The 16,182-nt window shown below is 37.6% G+C and overlaps 1 long non-coding RNA gene across 1 annotated transcript; it reads left to right on the top strand.

Annotated features, from left to right (window-relative positions):
• Positions 1 to 235: 235 nt before the first annotated feature.
• On the top strand, positions 236 to 6,573 carry LOC105373333 (uncharacterized). The gene is made up of 3 exons (XR_938578.1): positions 236 to 321; positions 3,282 to 3,357; positions 6,533 to 6,573. It is a non-coding gene; the product is annotated as an uncharacterized LOC105373333 (long non-coding RNA).
• Positions 6,574 to 16,182: the final 9,609 nt, after the last annotated feature.

Below are 16,182 nucleotides of genomic sequence, written 5' to 3'. Positions count from 1 at the left end.
GGCAGCCCACCCTAAGGGAAGAATCATGGGAAAGAGGTGAGCTTATAAAAGTCCTGGGATCACAGTTAAATGGGGCACTTGACCTCTCTCTAACCTTATGTGCTTGCTTGGTTCTCTTCCAAGTGCACCTTCTTTTCTTTCCTTTTTTTCTAAGGGTTTTAAAAATAAACTTCCACTCCTGCTCTGTAACTTGCCTCAGTCTCTCCCTTTCTTTCTTTCTTTCTTCTTTTTTTTTTTTTTGCTTCATGCCTTTCAGTCAAATTCTTTCCTCTGAGAAGGCAAGGACTGAAGTTGCTGTGAGTGCGTACGGATTTGCCACAGGTAACTCCGGGTAACTCGGATCTTTTTCACTTCTAACAAAATATTCATGAACGTGGATTTTCTTCTGAGTTTCTGTATTTAGCTTTTACATTTAACCCTGTGGTTCATTTGGTATTAATTTTGTATGATAATAGGGACTTGTGAGAGAGTATTGGCATCTTAACGTTAAGTTTTTTAATCCATCAACATTAGATGTCGCTCCTTTTATTCATTTATTATGAATTTCTTTAAACACTGTTTCGTAGTTTTCATAGTACAAGTTTTGTGTTTCTTACTTGGGTAAGTCAAGTATTCCTAAGTATTTCATTGTTTTGATTCTGTTTTAAATGGAATTGTTTTTATTTCTGAATTGTTCTTTGCAACTACATAGAAATACAGTTGATTTTTGTAAATTGATCTGGTGTCCTGCAACTTTGTTCAATTTATTATGATTTTTATTGTATTAGGATTTTTCATAAGATATAGTCATTTGCAAATAGAGATAGTTTTACTTTCTAATCTGAATAATAAGCAAAAAATCTTTCTTTCTTTAAATGTTACCTAATTCTATTTTTACAATCTGCAAATATACATGTAGTGAAATATTTTCAGGAAAACAATCTTAGTTCAGACTGGTTGACTCAACATAGGATTAGGTGAAGAAACTGGTTCCTGGCTACATATAGTAAAAAATAAAAATACTAGGTCTGAAAAGAACTAAATATGGCTGAAGAAAATTATTTCATCCTGGGCATTTGACCCACTGCAACACTGGATAAAATGAGATGGGAAGTTGGGACTGTCTCTCTGGTTCTGCTGGGAGTTGGCATCTAAATTATCAAAATGATATAGGGTTGTGGTTATGTTTTGTCTTCTCTGGAAGTTGGACTTGAATAGATACCATTAACTTCACAAACCCCCCATTAACTCTGACTTTCATCTTTGACTACTGTCTCCATCACTTTGATAGAGACACGGTGACTTTCTTACTGTACCTGAAACACAACAGACAAATCACACTTCAGGGCCTTTGCACTTGCTGTATAAGGAATGTGCTTCTCCCACATATTATCATGTCCTCACTCCCTCAATCTTCATTTTTTAAGAAATATTTTCCTTCTATATACATAGGGCCTGTCCTGGTAATTTTTAAAAGCCTACATAAAATTAAGCTTGCCTTCCTCTTTACCATGCTGAAAATACTTCCTGTCATACAAAAATTAGCCAGATGTGATGGAGGGTGTCTGTAATCCCAGCTAGTCGGGAGGCTGAGATAGGAGAATTACTTGAACCTGGGAGGCAGAGGATGCAGTGAGCCAAGATCACTGAACTCCAGCTTGGGCAACAGAGCAAGACTCTTAAAAAAAAGAAAAAGAAAATATTTCCTGTCTTTTTCTTAACAATATTTATCATGATCTAATATGCCTATGTATTTTAGTGATTTGATTGTTTTTGAACTAACAACTCTTCCTCTGGAAACAGATGCATTAGAATGTAAGCTCCATATAAGCAGGGAGTATTGTCTCTTTTGTTTATTGGTTTATTGCCAGTGCTTAGAATAGTGCCTGGCAGATAGTAATTGATCAAAAATATTTGTTGAATACATGAATACATTTTTCAATCTTAGCTGTAATAGGTTTGGTATGTTGCAGCATTGTAATGGGACTTCAGAGAATCCCTCTTGGGTTTTATTCTGGATATACTTGACAAGGGCCGGCTTGAGGGATCTGAATGTTTTCCTTTCTCTTTGTATCACCAACACCTTTTGAGGAGTTAAGGATATCTCCATTCTACAGGGTTTATGGTGCCCCAGGCAGTGGAAACAGCTGTTATCAACACAGGATAGTGCATTTGAAAGGCAGGGGATTAAGCAGAGTTTTGAAGAAAAAAAGAACATAACTCCTAGTTAGATCACACTGTTATGGGTTTTTAACAGATAGTAACAAAAAAAGATAACAGGGCTCTGATTCCATTTCTATGTGGCATCCTGAGGAGGGCCATTAAAATCACTTGGTTAGTTGAAGCTTATTCTTTCTTGGTCTCAGATTATTTTTATCCATGTGATCCTCCCACTCCTTTTCAAGTTTTTGGTGTTTATTATTTAATCTTCAGGGAGTAGAATATATTCTGTAAATATGCATATTGTCCTTTTTCTCTCAGACCAGTGGATTTTGAAATTAATAGTTAAGATTTTGTGTATTTTGTTTCTTTGCTTATATAGTGGTTTGTTCAATTCTCATTGTAGAGCTTTGTTGGGGGCTGAGAGGCTTATAGAATATAAAATCTAATAATGAGGTGTGAAAATTGTACAGCAATTACTATGTCAATTATTTTTTTCTGAAACATGGCGTTTAACTTTTTAAAAAATTTTGAAATAATTATACATTGATAGGAAGTTACAAAATATGTGCAGGGAGGTCTTATGGTATATAGGACATGTTTCCTTCAATGGTAACATTTTGCATGACTATAATACAATACTAAAACTAGGAAATTGACACAACCAGGAAAATCTGTAAAGCTTATTTATATTTCATTAGCTTTACGTGCACTCCTTTGCCTGTGTGTGATTCAATGTAATTTTTTTCACGTGTGTACATTTCTGTAACTACCACATGATCAAGATACAGAACTGTCCCATCAACCACAAGGCTTCCTGTGATTTATTTAATCAATTTGTAAAAACAAGTGAGCCAAACAAAATGTATCTGTGGGCTATATTTGCACTGACAGCTACCAGTTTGCAGTCTTTCCTTTATCATGTGCTTTAGTGAAATATTGTTTGCAAATTTTACTTAACAGTCTCTTCTCCCAAACTACCAGCTCTTCATAGGATTTAGGCAAATATAACACTAAGTGAAAAACAAATTCAATTAACAAACACTATTCTATTCTCAGAAACACATATTATTTCTGAAAACTAAGGCTTTGTAACTGATTTAAGCTTGGTGCCCTAACTCTTCCTTTATGATGCCTTCCAGATGGGCCAATGCCTCACGCAAATGGAACTCAAGGCCACTCCACTATTTCACTAGACAAGTGAGAACATTTCTGAGTGTAAGTGATCAGTTTATTCTTAACCTGTGACACATTTATCACAAATCCAATTGTGTAACTTTTTTATAAAAGTTTTAAATTTTATCTAGAAGTTTTATTACAAAGTACTAACAGCGGGAGCAAAGGTAAATATTTTGGGATCTTGATCTAACATTTTACCTGTTAATTTTAGCTTTATTTCCGTCTCCCTTCAATATGTATACTGCATGTACTTTTTTTTTTTTTTTTTTTTTTCCCCAGACAGGGTCTTGCTGTGTTGCTCAGGGTGGAGTTCAGTGGCAGGATCTCAGCTCAATGCAGCCCCAGTCTCCCAGGCTCAAATGATTCTCCTGCCTCAGCCTCCTGAGTAGCTGGGATCACAGGCATGCACCACCATGCCTGGCTATTTTTTCTTTAAGTTTTTTGTAGAGGCTGTGGGTGGGGAGTGGTGGGGGGTGGGTCTTGCTATTTTGCCCAGGCTGGTCTCCAAGACCTGAGCTCATGTAATTCTCCTGCCTTGGCCTCCCAAAGTGCCAGGATTACAGACGTGAGCCACCAATACCAGTCAACTACATGTATCTTTGATCAGTATGTACACAGTATATACATCCAAGAAATTGATAAAAAGGTAAAATGCTGCATCACGACAGTCATTGAATATGTTCTATGAATTCTGAATCTATGTGTCTGCACTGCCATTCAGTCCACATCTCTCCATTTTAGCCATACAATGAGATAACCAACTATCCAGGTTTTCCCCAGACTCAGGAGTTTCCTGTAATGAAGGACTTCCAGTTCTAAAACTGGGACAGCCCTGAGAAAACCAAGACACCTGGTCACCTTATAGGTGTATATTGAAAGACTTTCTTTGTGTCATTTAAAACTCCAGAACTGTATTAGTCCTCTGATGTTAAAAAGTGCATTCAGATAACTAGCAAATATGTGTAATTTTCTTTGTAAAATTCACTTTGCGGTTAAGTACACCAAAGACCATTCTCTATTTAGAAAGGAAATAATACCTAATTTCTTTCTTAAGGGACTTTCTGAAGGATACTTTGTAATTAGTTGAATGTAGCAAATCTCAGAGAGTGACTAATTGAAAAGCAACTGATTCAATCAGCAGCTCCCTAGTTGACACTTTGTAAAAATAGATAAAAGCACAAAAAAGTAAACCATTAAGAGTAAGGTGGGGAGGAGTGTGCAAAATTAGTTCATGAACAAATATGGAAGATACAAAGCTTCCTTTGAAGTTTCATTCTGATGTTAACTAATCTTCACCCATTCAGCATACTTGCCATGTGTATTATGGTGAAACAAATATATTTAAAATACACATCAGGGAAATTGGGTATTCTTCCTCCTGAAATGCACTAAAAGAACTGTATGAATTTATAGCTCAATTGTTCTAAAGCATCATACAATTTTAAATTATAATAAATCCTGCATGCGGTGGTTTTCCTTCATTCTCCCTTTTTACTCTGCACCTCTACCCCATATCCAAGCCATTCCAAAGAACCCTGAGACCACAGGAGAGATGCCAGAATAAAACATTTAAAAGAAAAGGGAAATATATTACTTAAAGCAACAATTACTTGTGTATTCCTTCACAACTTTCTTATTGAATTCAGTCCACCTCTTTATAGCTGCAGAGGTCTCTGTCGAACTTATCTGGCTAATTATGTTTGAGGCATTTCCTACTTTTTATTTTCTAGTATGTCAGCTTTCCCAATATCACATGACCAAACTTTGTTCCAATCGCTCATGCTTTCATTCTAATAAGTAAACAACAAAAATATGCTTTTCAAATTTGTGCTTTAAATTTGTCCAGAATGAATAGAAATAGGCTGTTTTGAATACTCTTTCACCAAAATGTCTCTTAAAAGCTAAATTGGAAAAACTTTCTTTTTCTATCTATGATCTTTGTTTTGGCCCTGCAAAGTGATGTTTATTACTCAAGAGTAGTTTAAAAACACATTGCTTTCCCAATACAGGAAAATGACTAAGGGTCAAGTATTTCTCAGAATAATCTTCAAGGAAGCAGTTTTGCTTGATTGAAACTTCAGGCTGGGTGCAGTTGCTCATGCCTGTAATCCCAGCATTTTGGTGGCTCATGCCTGTAATCCTAGCACTTTGTGAGGCTGAAGTGGGTGGATTGCTTAAATCCAGGAGTTCCAGACCAGCTTGGGCAACATGGTGAAACCCCCTGGACCTGATGGCTTCACTGCTGAATTCTACCAAACTTTTAAAGAATAACTAATAACAACCCAATTCAAACTTTTCCAAAAAATAGAGGATGAGGAAAATTTTTAAACATTCTATGAGGCCAATATTACCCTGTTAGCAAAATCAGACAAAGAGATAGAAAAAAAAAACTACAGGCCAATATCTCTGATAAATACTGATGCAAAAATCTTCCATAAAATACTAGCTAACTGTATATTAGAAAGCTTATTCACCATTACCAAGTAGGATTTATCCCTGGGATGCAAGGATGGTTCAACATATGCAAATTAATCAATGTGATGCATCATATCAACAGATTGAAGGATTAAAATCAGTATTTCAATTGATGCTGGAAAAGCATTCAATAAAGTGAAACATTACTTCATGATAAAAACCTAAAAAATAGGGTATAGAGGAAACATAACATGATAAAAGCCGTATAGGACAGACACACAGCTAGTCTCATAATGAATAGGGAGAACAGAAAGCCTTTTCCCAAAGATCTAGAACAAAACCAGGATATCCAATGTCACCTACTATTATTTAACATAGTATTAGAGGTCCTAGCTGAAGCAGTCAGAGAAAAGAATGATATAAAGCATTGAATGGTTAATATTGAGTTTCATCTTGATTGGATTGATGGATGCAAGGTATTGTTCCTGGGTGTGTCTATGAGTGTGTTGCCAAAGGAGGTTAACATTTGAGTCAGTGGACTGGAAAAGGCAGACCCACCCTCAATCTGGGTGGGCACCATCTAATCAGCTGTCAGCATAAAAGCAGGCATGAAAAGAGAAGACTGGTTAAGCTTTCTGAACTCTATCTTTCTCCAGTGCTGGATGCTTCCTGCTCTCGAACATCAGACTCCATGTTCTTTGGCTTTTGGACTCTTAGACATACACCAGTGGTTTGCCAGGGGCTCTTGGGCCTTTGGCCACAGACTAAAGGCTGCACTGTTGGCTTCCCTGCTTTTCAGGTTTTGGGACTCAGATTGGCTTCCTTGCTCCTCAGCTTGAAGACGACCTGTTGTGGAACTTCACCTTGTGATCATGTGAGTCAATACTCCTTAATAAACTCCCTTTCATATATACATCTATCCTATTAGTTTTGTCCCTCTAGAGAACCCTGACTAATAGAGATTTTGGTATTGGGAGTCATTCTAGTGGAACAGAATTTTAAGGATGGATTCCTTAGTTTGTTTGGGGGTTTCTGGTTCTGGAGTTGACTGCTTAATGTGATTGAAACCAAAAATGCTAAGGGATCTACTTCTAAAAGTACAGAGAACACTGATAGTCATTGGTGTGAACTCTTTAGAGAGTTATGCAAAATAAATGCAGTTAATAATCCTGATTCACTGCTCATGAGAGGCAGTTTAGTGACTCTATACATAATACCTTTGATCATATGTGGAGAACCAAGGAACCTAAGGAAGTTGGTTGGTTGCTCCTAAGTTCACTAGACAAGAGAGATGAAAGAAAATGAACTCAGGGATTTTATCTCCCAGTTCCAGAAGCACATAATGAGCCTCAAATCTGTTAAGATTGCCTTGAGCGAGAGTCGTATGTCCTGTAAAGAAAGAGCTGAAATTGTGGAAAAATCATATACAAGCTCTGATTATGTGAGTGGCTAACTTGCAGTGAAAGGTGCATGCACAGGCCAGGCCTGGTGGCTTATGTGTGTAATGCCAGCACTTTGAAAGGCTGAGGTGGGCAGATCACTTGAGGTCAGGAGTTTGAGACCAGTCTGGCCAACGTGGCGAAAACCTGTCTCTACTAAAATACAAAAATTAGCCGGGCATGGTGGCAGGCACCTGTAATCCCAGCTACTCGGGAGGCTGAGGCAGGAGAGTCACTTGAACCAAGGAGGTGGAGGTTGCAGTGAGCTGAGATCATGCCACTGCACTCCAGCCTGGGTGACAGAGCGAGACTCCCTCAAAAAAAAAAGAAAAAGGAAAAGAAAGGTGTGTGCACAGCCTCCTCAGGTCCAGGTGTCTACTGTTGAAGTGAGGGCACTGATTGGCAAAGAACTGGACCCTGCAACTTGGAATGGGGAAGAGTGGGAGGACCCTGATAAAGCTGGGGGGCACTGAAATCCTAAATTCTAATGAGCTTTTTTTTGCCAGAGGAAATGGCCTCCCCACCCCGCAGTGGTGGTAACATCCCCTCTCCCACCCAGGCTGCCATCAGCCTTTCCACCTTTGTCTGAGGAGATTAACAATGCACTGCCTGAGGCAACAGTGATAACCTCCCCTGAGGCAGTTGCCAGGCAAAACAATGTTGATTCCCCTCAAGAGCCACCCCCAACATCCCTGTTTGCTTCTAGACCTATAACTAGACTAAAGTCCCAGCGGGCCCCTAGAGGTGAGCTTGAGAGTGCGACCCATGAGGTGGTGCTACACTCGAAAGAACCACTTGAGTTTTCTGATTTATATAAACAGAAATCTGGAGAAACAGGCATGGGAATGGATATTAAGGGTGTAGGATAATGGTGGAAGAAGCATAGAGTTGGATCAGGCTGAGTTTATTGATTTGGGCCCACCAAGTAGGGACTCTGCATTTAATGTTTCAGCTCAGGGAGTTAAGAAAGGTAATAGTTCTGTTTTTATTTATTTGCTTGGTTAGCTGAAGTATGAATTAAAAGATGGCCCACTGTGAGTGAGCTGGAAATGCCTGATCTCCTGTGGTTTAATGTATGGGAAGGGATCCAAAGGCTTAGGGAGATTGAGATGCTGGATTGGATTAGTCACTTTAGACCTACTCATCCCAGCTGGGAGGGTCCAGAAGACATACCCTTTACCAATACTTTGTGAAGCAGATTTATGAGGGGAGCACCTGCATCCTTGAAGAGCTCTAGTTGCTCTTCTCTGTATGCCAGATCTTACAGTGGGAACTGCAAGATCCCACTCAACTACAAAATTTAAATGCAGTTGGAATAATTGGTCCCTGAGGTGGCAGGGGCCAAGTGGCAGCACTTAACCATCAAGGCAAGGTGGGCATAGTTACTGTAATGGACAGCAGAGGCAAAGCAGCAATTAGAATAGTCTGACTGGTGCAGTGCTCTGGCATTGGCTGATTATTCATGGTTCTCCTAGAAATGAAACTGATAGAATGCCTACTGCATTCTTATTTAACCAGAAAACTTCTAGGTTGAATGGACAAAAGACTAGTTTGAATTATAAAAACAAGAGAATCAAAGCCCCTCAATCAATTTCCAGACTTGCCCCAGTTTACAGACCCAGGACCTCTTGAATGAAGAGGAGGCTGGCTCCCCTTGAGGAAGGACTCCACTACACTACTGACAATTTATGCTGTTAATCTTTCTCCCATCCCTCCCAAAGGAGACCTCAGGCCTTTTACCAGGATAACTGTGCATTGGGGAAAGGGAAATTATCAGACCTTTTGGGGACTACTGGACACTGGCTTTGAGCTGATGTTGATTCCAGGGGATCCAAAACATCATTGTGGTCCTACAGTTAAAGTAGGAGCTTATAGAGGTCAGATAATTAATGGAGTTTTAGCTCAGGTGTGACTTACACTGGGTCCAGTGTGTCCCTGGACTCATCCTGTGGTCATTTCCCCAGTGCCAGAATCCATAATTGGCATAGAAATACTTAGCAGCAGGCAGAATCCCCACATTGGCTCCCTGAATGGTAGGGTGAGGGCTATTATGGTGGGAAAGGCCAAATGGAAGCCATTAGAGCTGCATCTGCCTAGAAACATGGTAAATTCAAAACAATGTCCACATCCCTAGAGGGATTATGGAGATTAGTGCCACCATCAAGGGCTTGAAAGATGAAGGGGTGGTGATTCCCACCACACTCCCATTCAACTCTCCTATTTGGCCTGTGCAGAAGACAGAAGGGTCTTGAAGAATGACAATGGATTATCATAAGCTTCATCAAGTGGTGACTTCAATTGCAGCTGCTGTACCAGATATGGTTTTATTGCTTGAGCAAATTAACACATCTCCTGGTACCTGGTATGCGGCCATTGATTTGGTAAATGCCTTTTTTTCTCCATTCCCGTCCAAAAGGCCCTAAGAAGCAATTTGCCTTCAACTGGCAAGGCCAGCAATATACCTTCACTGTTTTAGTATACTGATAGGGGTATATCAATGCTCAGGTTTTGTGTCATAATTCTGTTTGAAGAGATCTTGATCACTTTTCCTTTCTACAAGATATTATACTAGTCCATTACCTTGATGACATTATGCTGATTGGATCCAGTGAGTGAGAAGTAGCAAACACACTGGACTTATTGGTGAGACATTTTTGTGTCAGAGGATGGGAAATAAACCCAACTAAAATTCAGGGACCTTCTACCTCAGTAAAATTTCTAGGGCCCCTCTGGTGTGGCTAAGTCTTTTGGCCTCCATCTTTCTCCTGTGCTGGATGCTTCCTGACCTTGAACATCAGACTCCAAGTTCTTCAGCTTTGGGGCTCTTGGGCCTACACTAGTGGTTTGCCAATGGCTCTTGGGCTTTCAGCCACAAACTGAAGGCTTCCCTACTTTTGAGGTTTTGAGACTCTAACTGGCTTCTTTGCTCCTCAGCTTGCAGATGGCCTGCTGTGGGACTTCACCTTGTGATCATGTCAGTCAATGCTGAATGTAGAAAACCATTTCCCTAATTTTCATGAAAAGGGAAGGGAGTTTTGGTGACATCTTTCCTGATTTTAGTACAATTACAAGATGAACCATTAAATTGTTGACTCTTTTACAGTTTGTAACAGTATAACAATTTACTAATTTTGTAACACTAGTCAACAACTTTATTTTTTGACTGGGCTTCTAGACTTACACATCAGGGAAATGGTATAGTATGTTTGCATTTTGTCAGTTTTAATGTGTCTTTCTGGAAAAGATGGAAAGATCTGAGCTAAATGATAATATTTGGTTGATATTTAACTGATTGAAGAACCTCACTTCACATAGATGGTGCTGATTTCAGGTCCTTATGTACCTAGAATATACTTGCCAATATCATGTCACAAACATCTCTTTTATTAATAATGTACAGAAGCTCTTAAGGAGAATATTGATGAATTCTATAATTTGTGTATGACATTAGAATAGGAAGACAAATTAGAATGTTAAAACTGTTCAAAAAGGAAACTAGCCAAATTAAATTTAAAAGAGTTTAATTGAGCAAAGAATGATTCACAAATCGGGCAGTCTTTTAAGCCAGAGTAGGCTCAGCAACTCCAGCACAGCCACTTGGTGGAAGATTTATAGACAGAAAAAGGAAAGCAACGTACACAAAATGGAAGTGGGGTATGGAAACTTTCAGATTGGTTATGGTTCTGTGTGTGCCTTATATGAACATGGTTTGAACATTTGGCCACATACGATTGTTTAAAGCTTGGTGATTGGCACAAGAGTAGGCTAACGTATGTTTATAATCCCTTCTAGGTTATAGTTCATGATGTACATAGAAACCTTTGGGCTGAACTTAAAATATGTAAGGAGACAGCTTTAGGCTAAACTTGATTTAGCAATTCCCCCTTTTTCGTCATCCTCTCAATTTTGAGACTGATCAAAACTTTAATCATTGATGTCAGTATCAGCATCGTAAATGTACTTATTTGGTCTTTAAACGCACTGGGAAAGAGCAGGAGAGTTGGTTTTGTAAGGCAGAAACAAGAACTTCAGGTTAATTTCTTTTTGAAAGGGTTAGAGTAGAAGATACCTCCTTATGCTGGAATGTCCTGTTTACAGGAGGAAAAACAACCTGGTCTCTCCTAGGATCTATGTGTTTCCTTAAAGTCTTAGTTTGATTATGCCACATTTAGTATGAGTGACTCCATTTTGGTTTGGTCTGGTCTGTTGGGGCCTGGTGCATGAGCTCAGTCCAAAACAATGGCCTCTTATAATTTGTTTAAAAATTCCACCCTTTTGGTCAGGTTCTCATTTAGGTGAGAATGTGACCAAAACTTAGGGCCTTAGTGCCACTCTCAGTTACCATCACTTAGGGTTTCCAGTCTCAGCACATCATTCAGAGGTTATGGTGCCTTCATGGTCACACATTTATTTTAGCTCTTGTCATTCTAGTTGAAGAGAGACCATTTGACATTCTAAATAGGGCTGCATGCATGCATTTAACATTTTTGAGAGAATACAGTACACCAGGGAGAATACTATTATGAACATCATGAGGATAATAAAAAGAGTTTGGAATATGCTCATTAGCCAGTATCTCCATAAACCAAACCAACTAAAATCAAATAGATCAAAGAATGATCTAGATAAAGAGTCTTCTTTTAAATAAGCAGTCTTGTCTTTAGTTCCCTACACCTGAATCTATGTAATACCTGATATGATGTATTTCTCCATGACCAACAATTGCCAACAGCTGCAAAACTACTTCTCTGTTTAGCCAGTAAGTAACCTACAGCAATTCAATTATTGAGCTTAACTTTCACAAGATAATTTAAGTCTGCTATGTAACCATAGCCCTTACAGTAGAATTTGCTATAGAACCTATCATAAGGGATGAATTTCTAAATATTGCCTCATTTTACTCCAAACCATGAAAAAAGGACCAAACAAATGATGCCCTTCAGAAGAGTTTGGATCTCATGGCAATGTTCTGTTTAACCCATGACAATTGGTTAAGGGGAGTGGACCAATGTTCTGTTTCTGACTGATTATGTGGCAACATATGTACCATTAAAATTTCTCACCTATATTGGGCCTTCATTTTCCATATATCACAGCATAAAGTTATCTGTGTATAAGGCAGGCTGTGAAATCCCTCACAAATAAAAGTATACCCTATGAATGCATACAACAGATCCCTTTTCACTTCTATTGTTCATAATTGCATAAGCAAGGGGAAAATTCCAAAATAAGAGTATCATGATAGGAGAGAAGTCTTGATTGATGATCTTAGCAAAAAGCTGTTCACATCAAGGATGCCATCTTCTTCTTGGGAGAAACTTTCCTAGTTAGCTTTATCTTAAGGCTTCCAATGGGTGTACAGTTCCAAGAGTGTGGAGGGATGCTTCTGAGTTGAGATTATAAATCCAAAGTTTAAGGTCCTGAAGTTTTGCTGCAGTATGGATGTCAAGGGCAGCTTTTCTTTGACATTCTCAGAAGATCCAATTTTTGGGTTTTATATTATGGAGGGGTTGATTGTCCTTAATCAGTGAACCATGAAAAGCTTTTTTTACCTGGTAAAAACACACTGTGGCATAATGAGCTACTGCTGTAACATCAGCCCTTTTGCATGGGAAAACATTTATACAACTAGAAAATATTCACTGAAAATGACAATTGAATGAAATCCCTCTATAAATATTTAAATGGCTCATCAGGAAGTATAATGTACCTGAGATTTTAATTGTCTTCCCAGGAATATGGGTTTGACAAACAAAACATTGTTTATAAACTATTTTAGCAATTTAGAAGTCACCACATCAATATATAATCTATTTAATTTAGATCATTTTATTTTTTCCATGATGAGTCATAGAATGGAGAACTTTTTTTTTTTTTTTTTTTTTGGAGACAGAGTCTCGTTCTGTTGCCCAGGTTGGAGTGCAGTGGCGTGATCTTGGCTCACTGCAAGCTCTGCCTCCAGGGTTCACACCATTCTCCTGCCTCAGCCTCCCAAGTAGCTGGGACTACAGGTACCTGCCACCAGGCCCGGCTAAATTTTATATTTTAAATATAAAAATATAAAATTTTTATATTTTTAGTAGAGACAGGGTTTCACCGTGTTAGCCAGGATGGTCTCCATTCCTGACCTTGCGATCCACCCATTTTGGCTTCCCAAAGTGCTGGGATTACAGGCATGAGCCACCACACGTGGCTGAATGGAGAACTTTTAATAACAAAAGCTTTAAGGACTCATGAAGGACAAAGCAACCGTCCTAGTTCTCTATGAGTCCATGCTTAAACATTGAACAGACTTAGGTCCTCTTGAATACTAGTTGTTTTTCCAATCTGGGTGCATAGCACTGATAACTGATGAATTATCACAGGTAATTTGAATTAGACCATGGAGTTCATTCAAATTTCATATCTACAAAATTTCAGTTTTGACTGATACAGCATGAAAATCTGGCAAAGTATTTATTGGTATTCAAGTATTTTTTTTTTTTTTTTTGAGACGGAGTCTCGCTGTTTCCCAGGCTGGAGTGCAGTGGCGTGATCTCGGCTCACTGCAAGCTCCACCTCCCGGGTTCACGTCATTCTCCTGCCTCAGCCTCCCCAACAGCTGGGAGTACAGGTGCCCGCTGCCATGCCTGGCTAATTTTTTGTATTTTTAGTAGAGATGGGGTTTCACCGTGTTAGCCAGGATGATCTCGATTTCCTGACCTTGTGATCCGCCCACCTCGGCCTCCCAAAGTGCTGGGATTACAGGCGTGAGCCACTGCGCCCGGTGGTATTCAAGTAATTTTTATTCTTTTTGGGTTGATAGTTTTATAAACCAGTCAGTCTTTTCATTAAGGTTCTTTGAATTCTTACCCAGCCCAAAATATATGATTCCAAAGTTATTAAAAATCTGTATTAAAGGGTTCTTTTCAGGGTGCTTTCCTTCTTTTCATGAACCTCCTTAAAGACATCATATTCTAGAACTTTGTGTGCTTGTGAAATTTTCAGAAACTGCATAATAATTAACTGTGGAAATAACTTCAGTCATAAAGACATAATTGACAAGGAAATTTGGTTATTTCTGTGGTCTACAATAATTTAACATAATAACCATAATCAGGATTCATAGCATATACACAGACAGAATTTTTTGAATCCCATATAATTTTGGAACATATATTAATAATATTGATTAAAATATAAACTGAATAAAGTTAAACATTATTTCTTGTATGACAGTATTTCCCATGTAACTTAACATGTCAAATAATCCTATTTACCTCTCTTTGGATGCCTTAGGGTTAGAGGATGCCCCTAACTTTGGGCAGCATCCCAAAGTTAGAGGTCAAGAAAGACTTAATTTTAAAGCTGAAAGTTGGTTTTGAGAAGCTGTCAAATATGTCAAAGGTTTAAAACACTTGACCCAAATAAGATCACAGGTCACCATAAAACAATAGTCATTCATTTAAACAAAGTGATAATTAAAAGATTTTTAAAAACAAAAACCTATACTCTTAGATAAAGGAGACTCAGTTTTCCAAACAATTAAAAGACCTAAGATAGCATGAGACAGAATCTCTTTTTCTTTCTTCTTTTTTTTTTGTGATTTGCTCAAAAAGTGAACAAAAATGTTTTACTGTGTCTTATTAATACTATACAAATTTTTTTCAAAAGAGAAAATCAAATTTTACTTTTGTATCAATATATTTTTAATATTAAAACTAATTTTAATAAAGCCTCATAAATAAATAAAATCTATCATATTTTAACCACATGATTTTCATAAGCTTTTCATTTTACATTTTCCACAACTTTCTATATTTATATATTGTTTTGTCTATTTTTTACTCCTTCAATTTGAAATATTTGAGTAATTTTAAATTAGACAAAAATGTTAATACACATTTTTGCCTTTATAACTTTCCTCATCAAATGTGTATTTTGGTTTTCTTTATAGAGTCTGTATACAAAATTGTTTCTCTCATATCTAGCAGTTTTAACTATTAGTAACTTGAATTTCTAGTGAAAACCCTAGGAAGTTATTTTGAAATTCTTTACATTGGTATTTGTAAATAAAAAATATTTTATAATTTTTTCAAAAAATAGTTTTTCAAATTATTATTTATTAACAGATCTAAAAATATTTAGCTTTTCTATACCATGTAAAAATAACATGTCATTATATAGACAAACTCATTTTTAATAATTAATATTTTTGTATCTTACAGATGCCTCAGATATTTTGTAATTATCTATTACTTAATTTAACATAGCATGACTCCAATAGTTTAAGCTAAAAAGAATTTTGAAACTATGACACAGGTGGCTTTCCTAATATCCCCCAGTAATTCTAGGTCTCAAGTAGCCACATGGCACCCAGAAGGGCTATGAAGGTCAAGGCCTGTCTGAGTCCATCAGGACAGACGAAAAGAGCTGAGAAGACTATACCTGGAGGATCCAACCTCTCCCAAGATAGCTAGTAGGCGAAACAGAGAAAGCAGAGGAATAAGGAGCCATATTAGGCTTGATTCTGACTTGTAACTTCTGGGCTAGGCAGGAAACACATATCCTAACCTCATTGTGGCTCCCTATCCAGACCTGTGAATCCAGAGACTCTAAACCAAAGATATTAGCTCACAGTCAAATCAAGCAAGTATCTAATTGTATTTAACTGATAATTTTGAAACCATTTCTATTTTACCAACAATTTAGAACCTAGCTTTATTTATCAAATAATTATATACACGTAACACATACAGAGATACAAACACATAGAAACAGATCTTATAGTGCTCATAAAGGATTTTCATTTGCTAGCTTTTAAATGTATTTTTCTTCTCCCCATTCATTCTATGAGTCATCCAATTTTCAGTTTAATTGCCTTAAGCAATTGTTAAAAAAGCAACAAATTTTCATTTCTAAAGGGACAACTCTTAAGTGGGACCCCCCAAAATTTTATATTTCATATGCACAGAGCTAAGATTTTAGGGCTAAATATTGCATCGTCATTTGTTCAAACCAAGGGAAAAAA

Source organism: Homo sapiens, chromosome X (genome assembly GCF_000001405.40).
Source record: "Homo sapiens chromosome X, GRCh38.p14 Primary Assembly".
Classification (NCBI taxonomy): Eukaryota; Metazoa; Chordata; class Mammalia; order Primates; family Hominidae; genus Homo; species Homo sapiens.
This window is presented reverse-complemented; position numbering and strand designations above follow the sequence as displayed.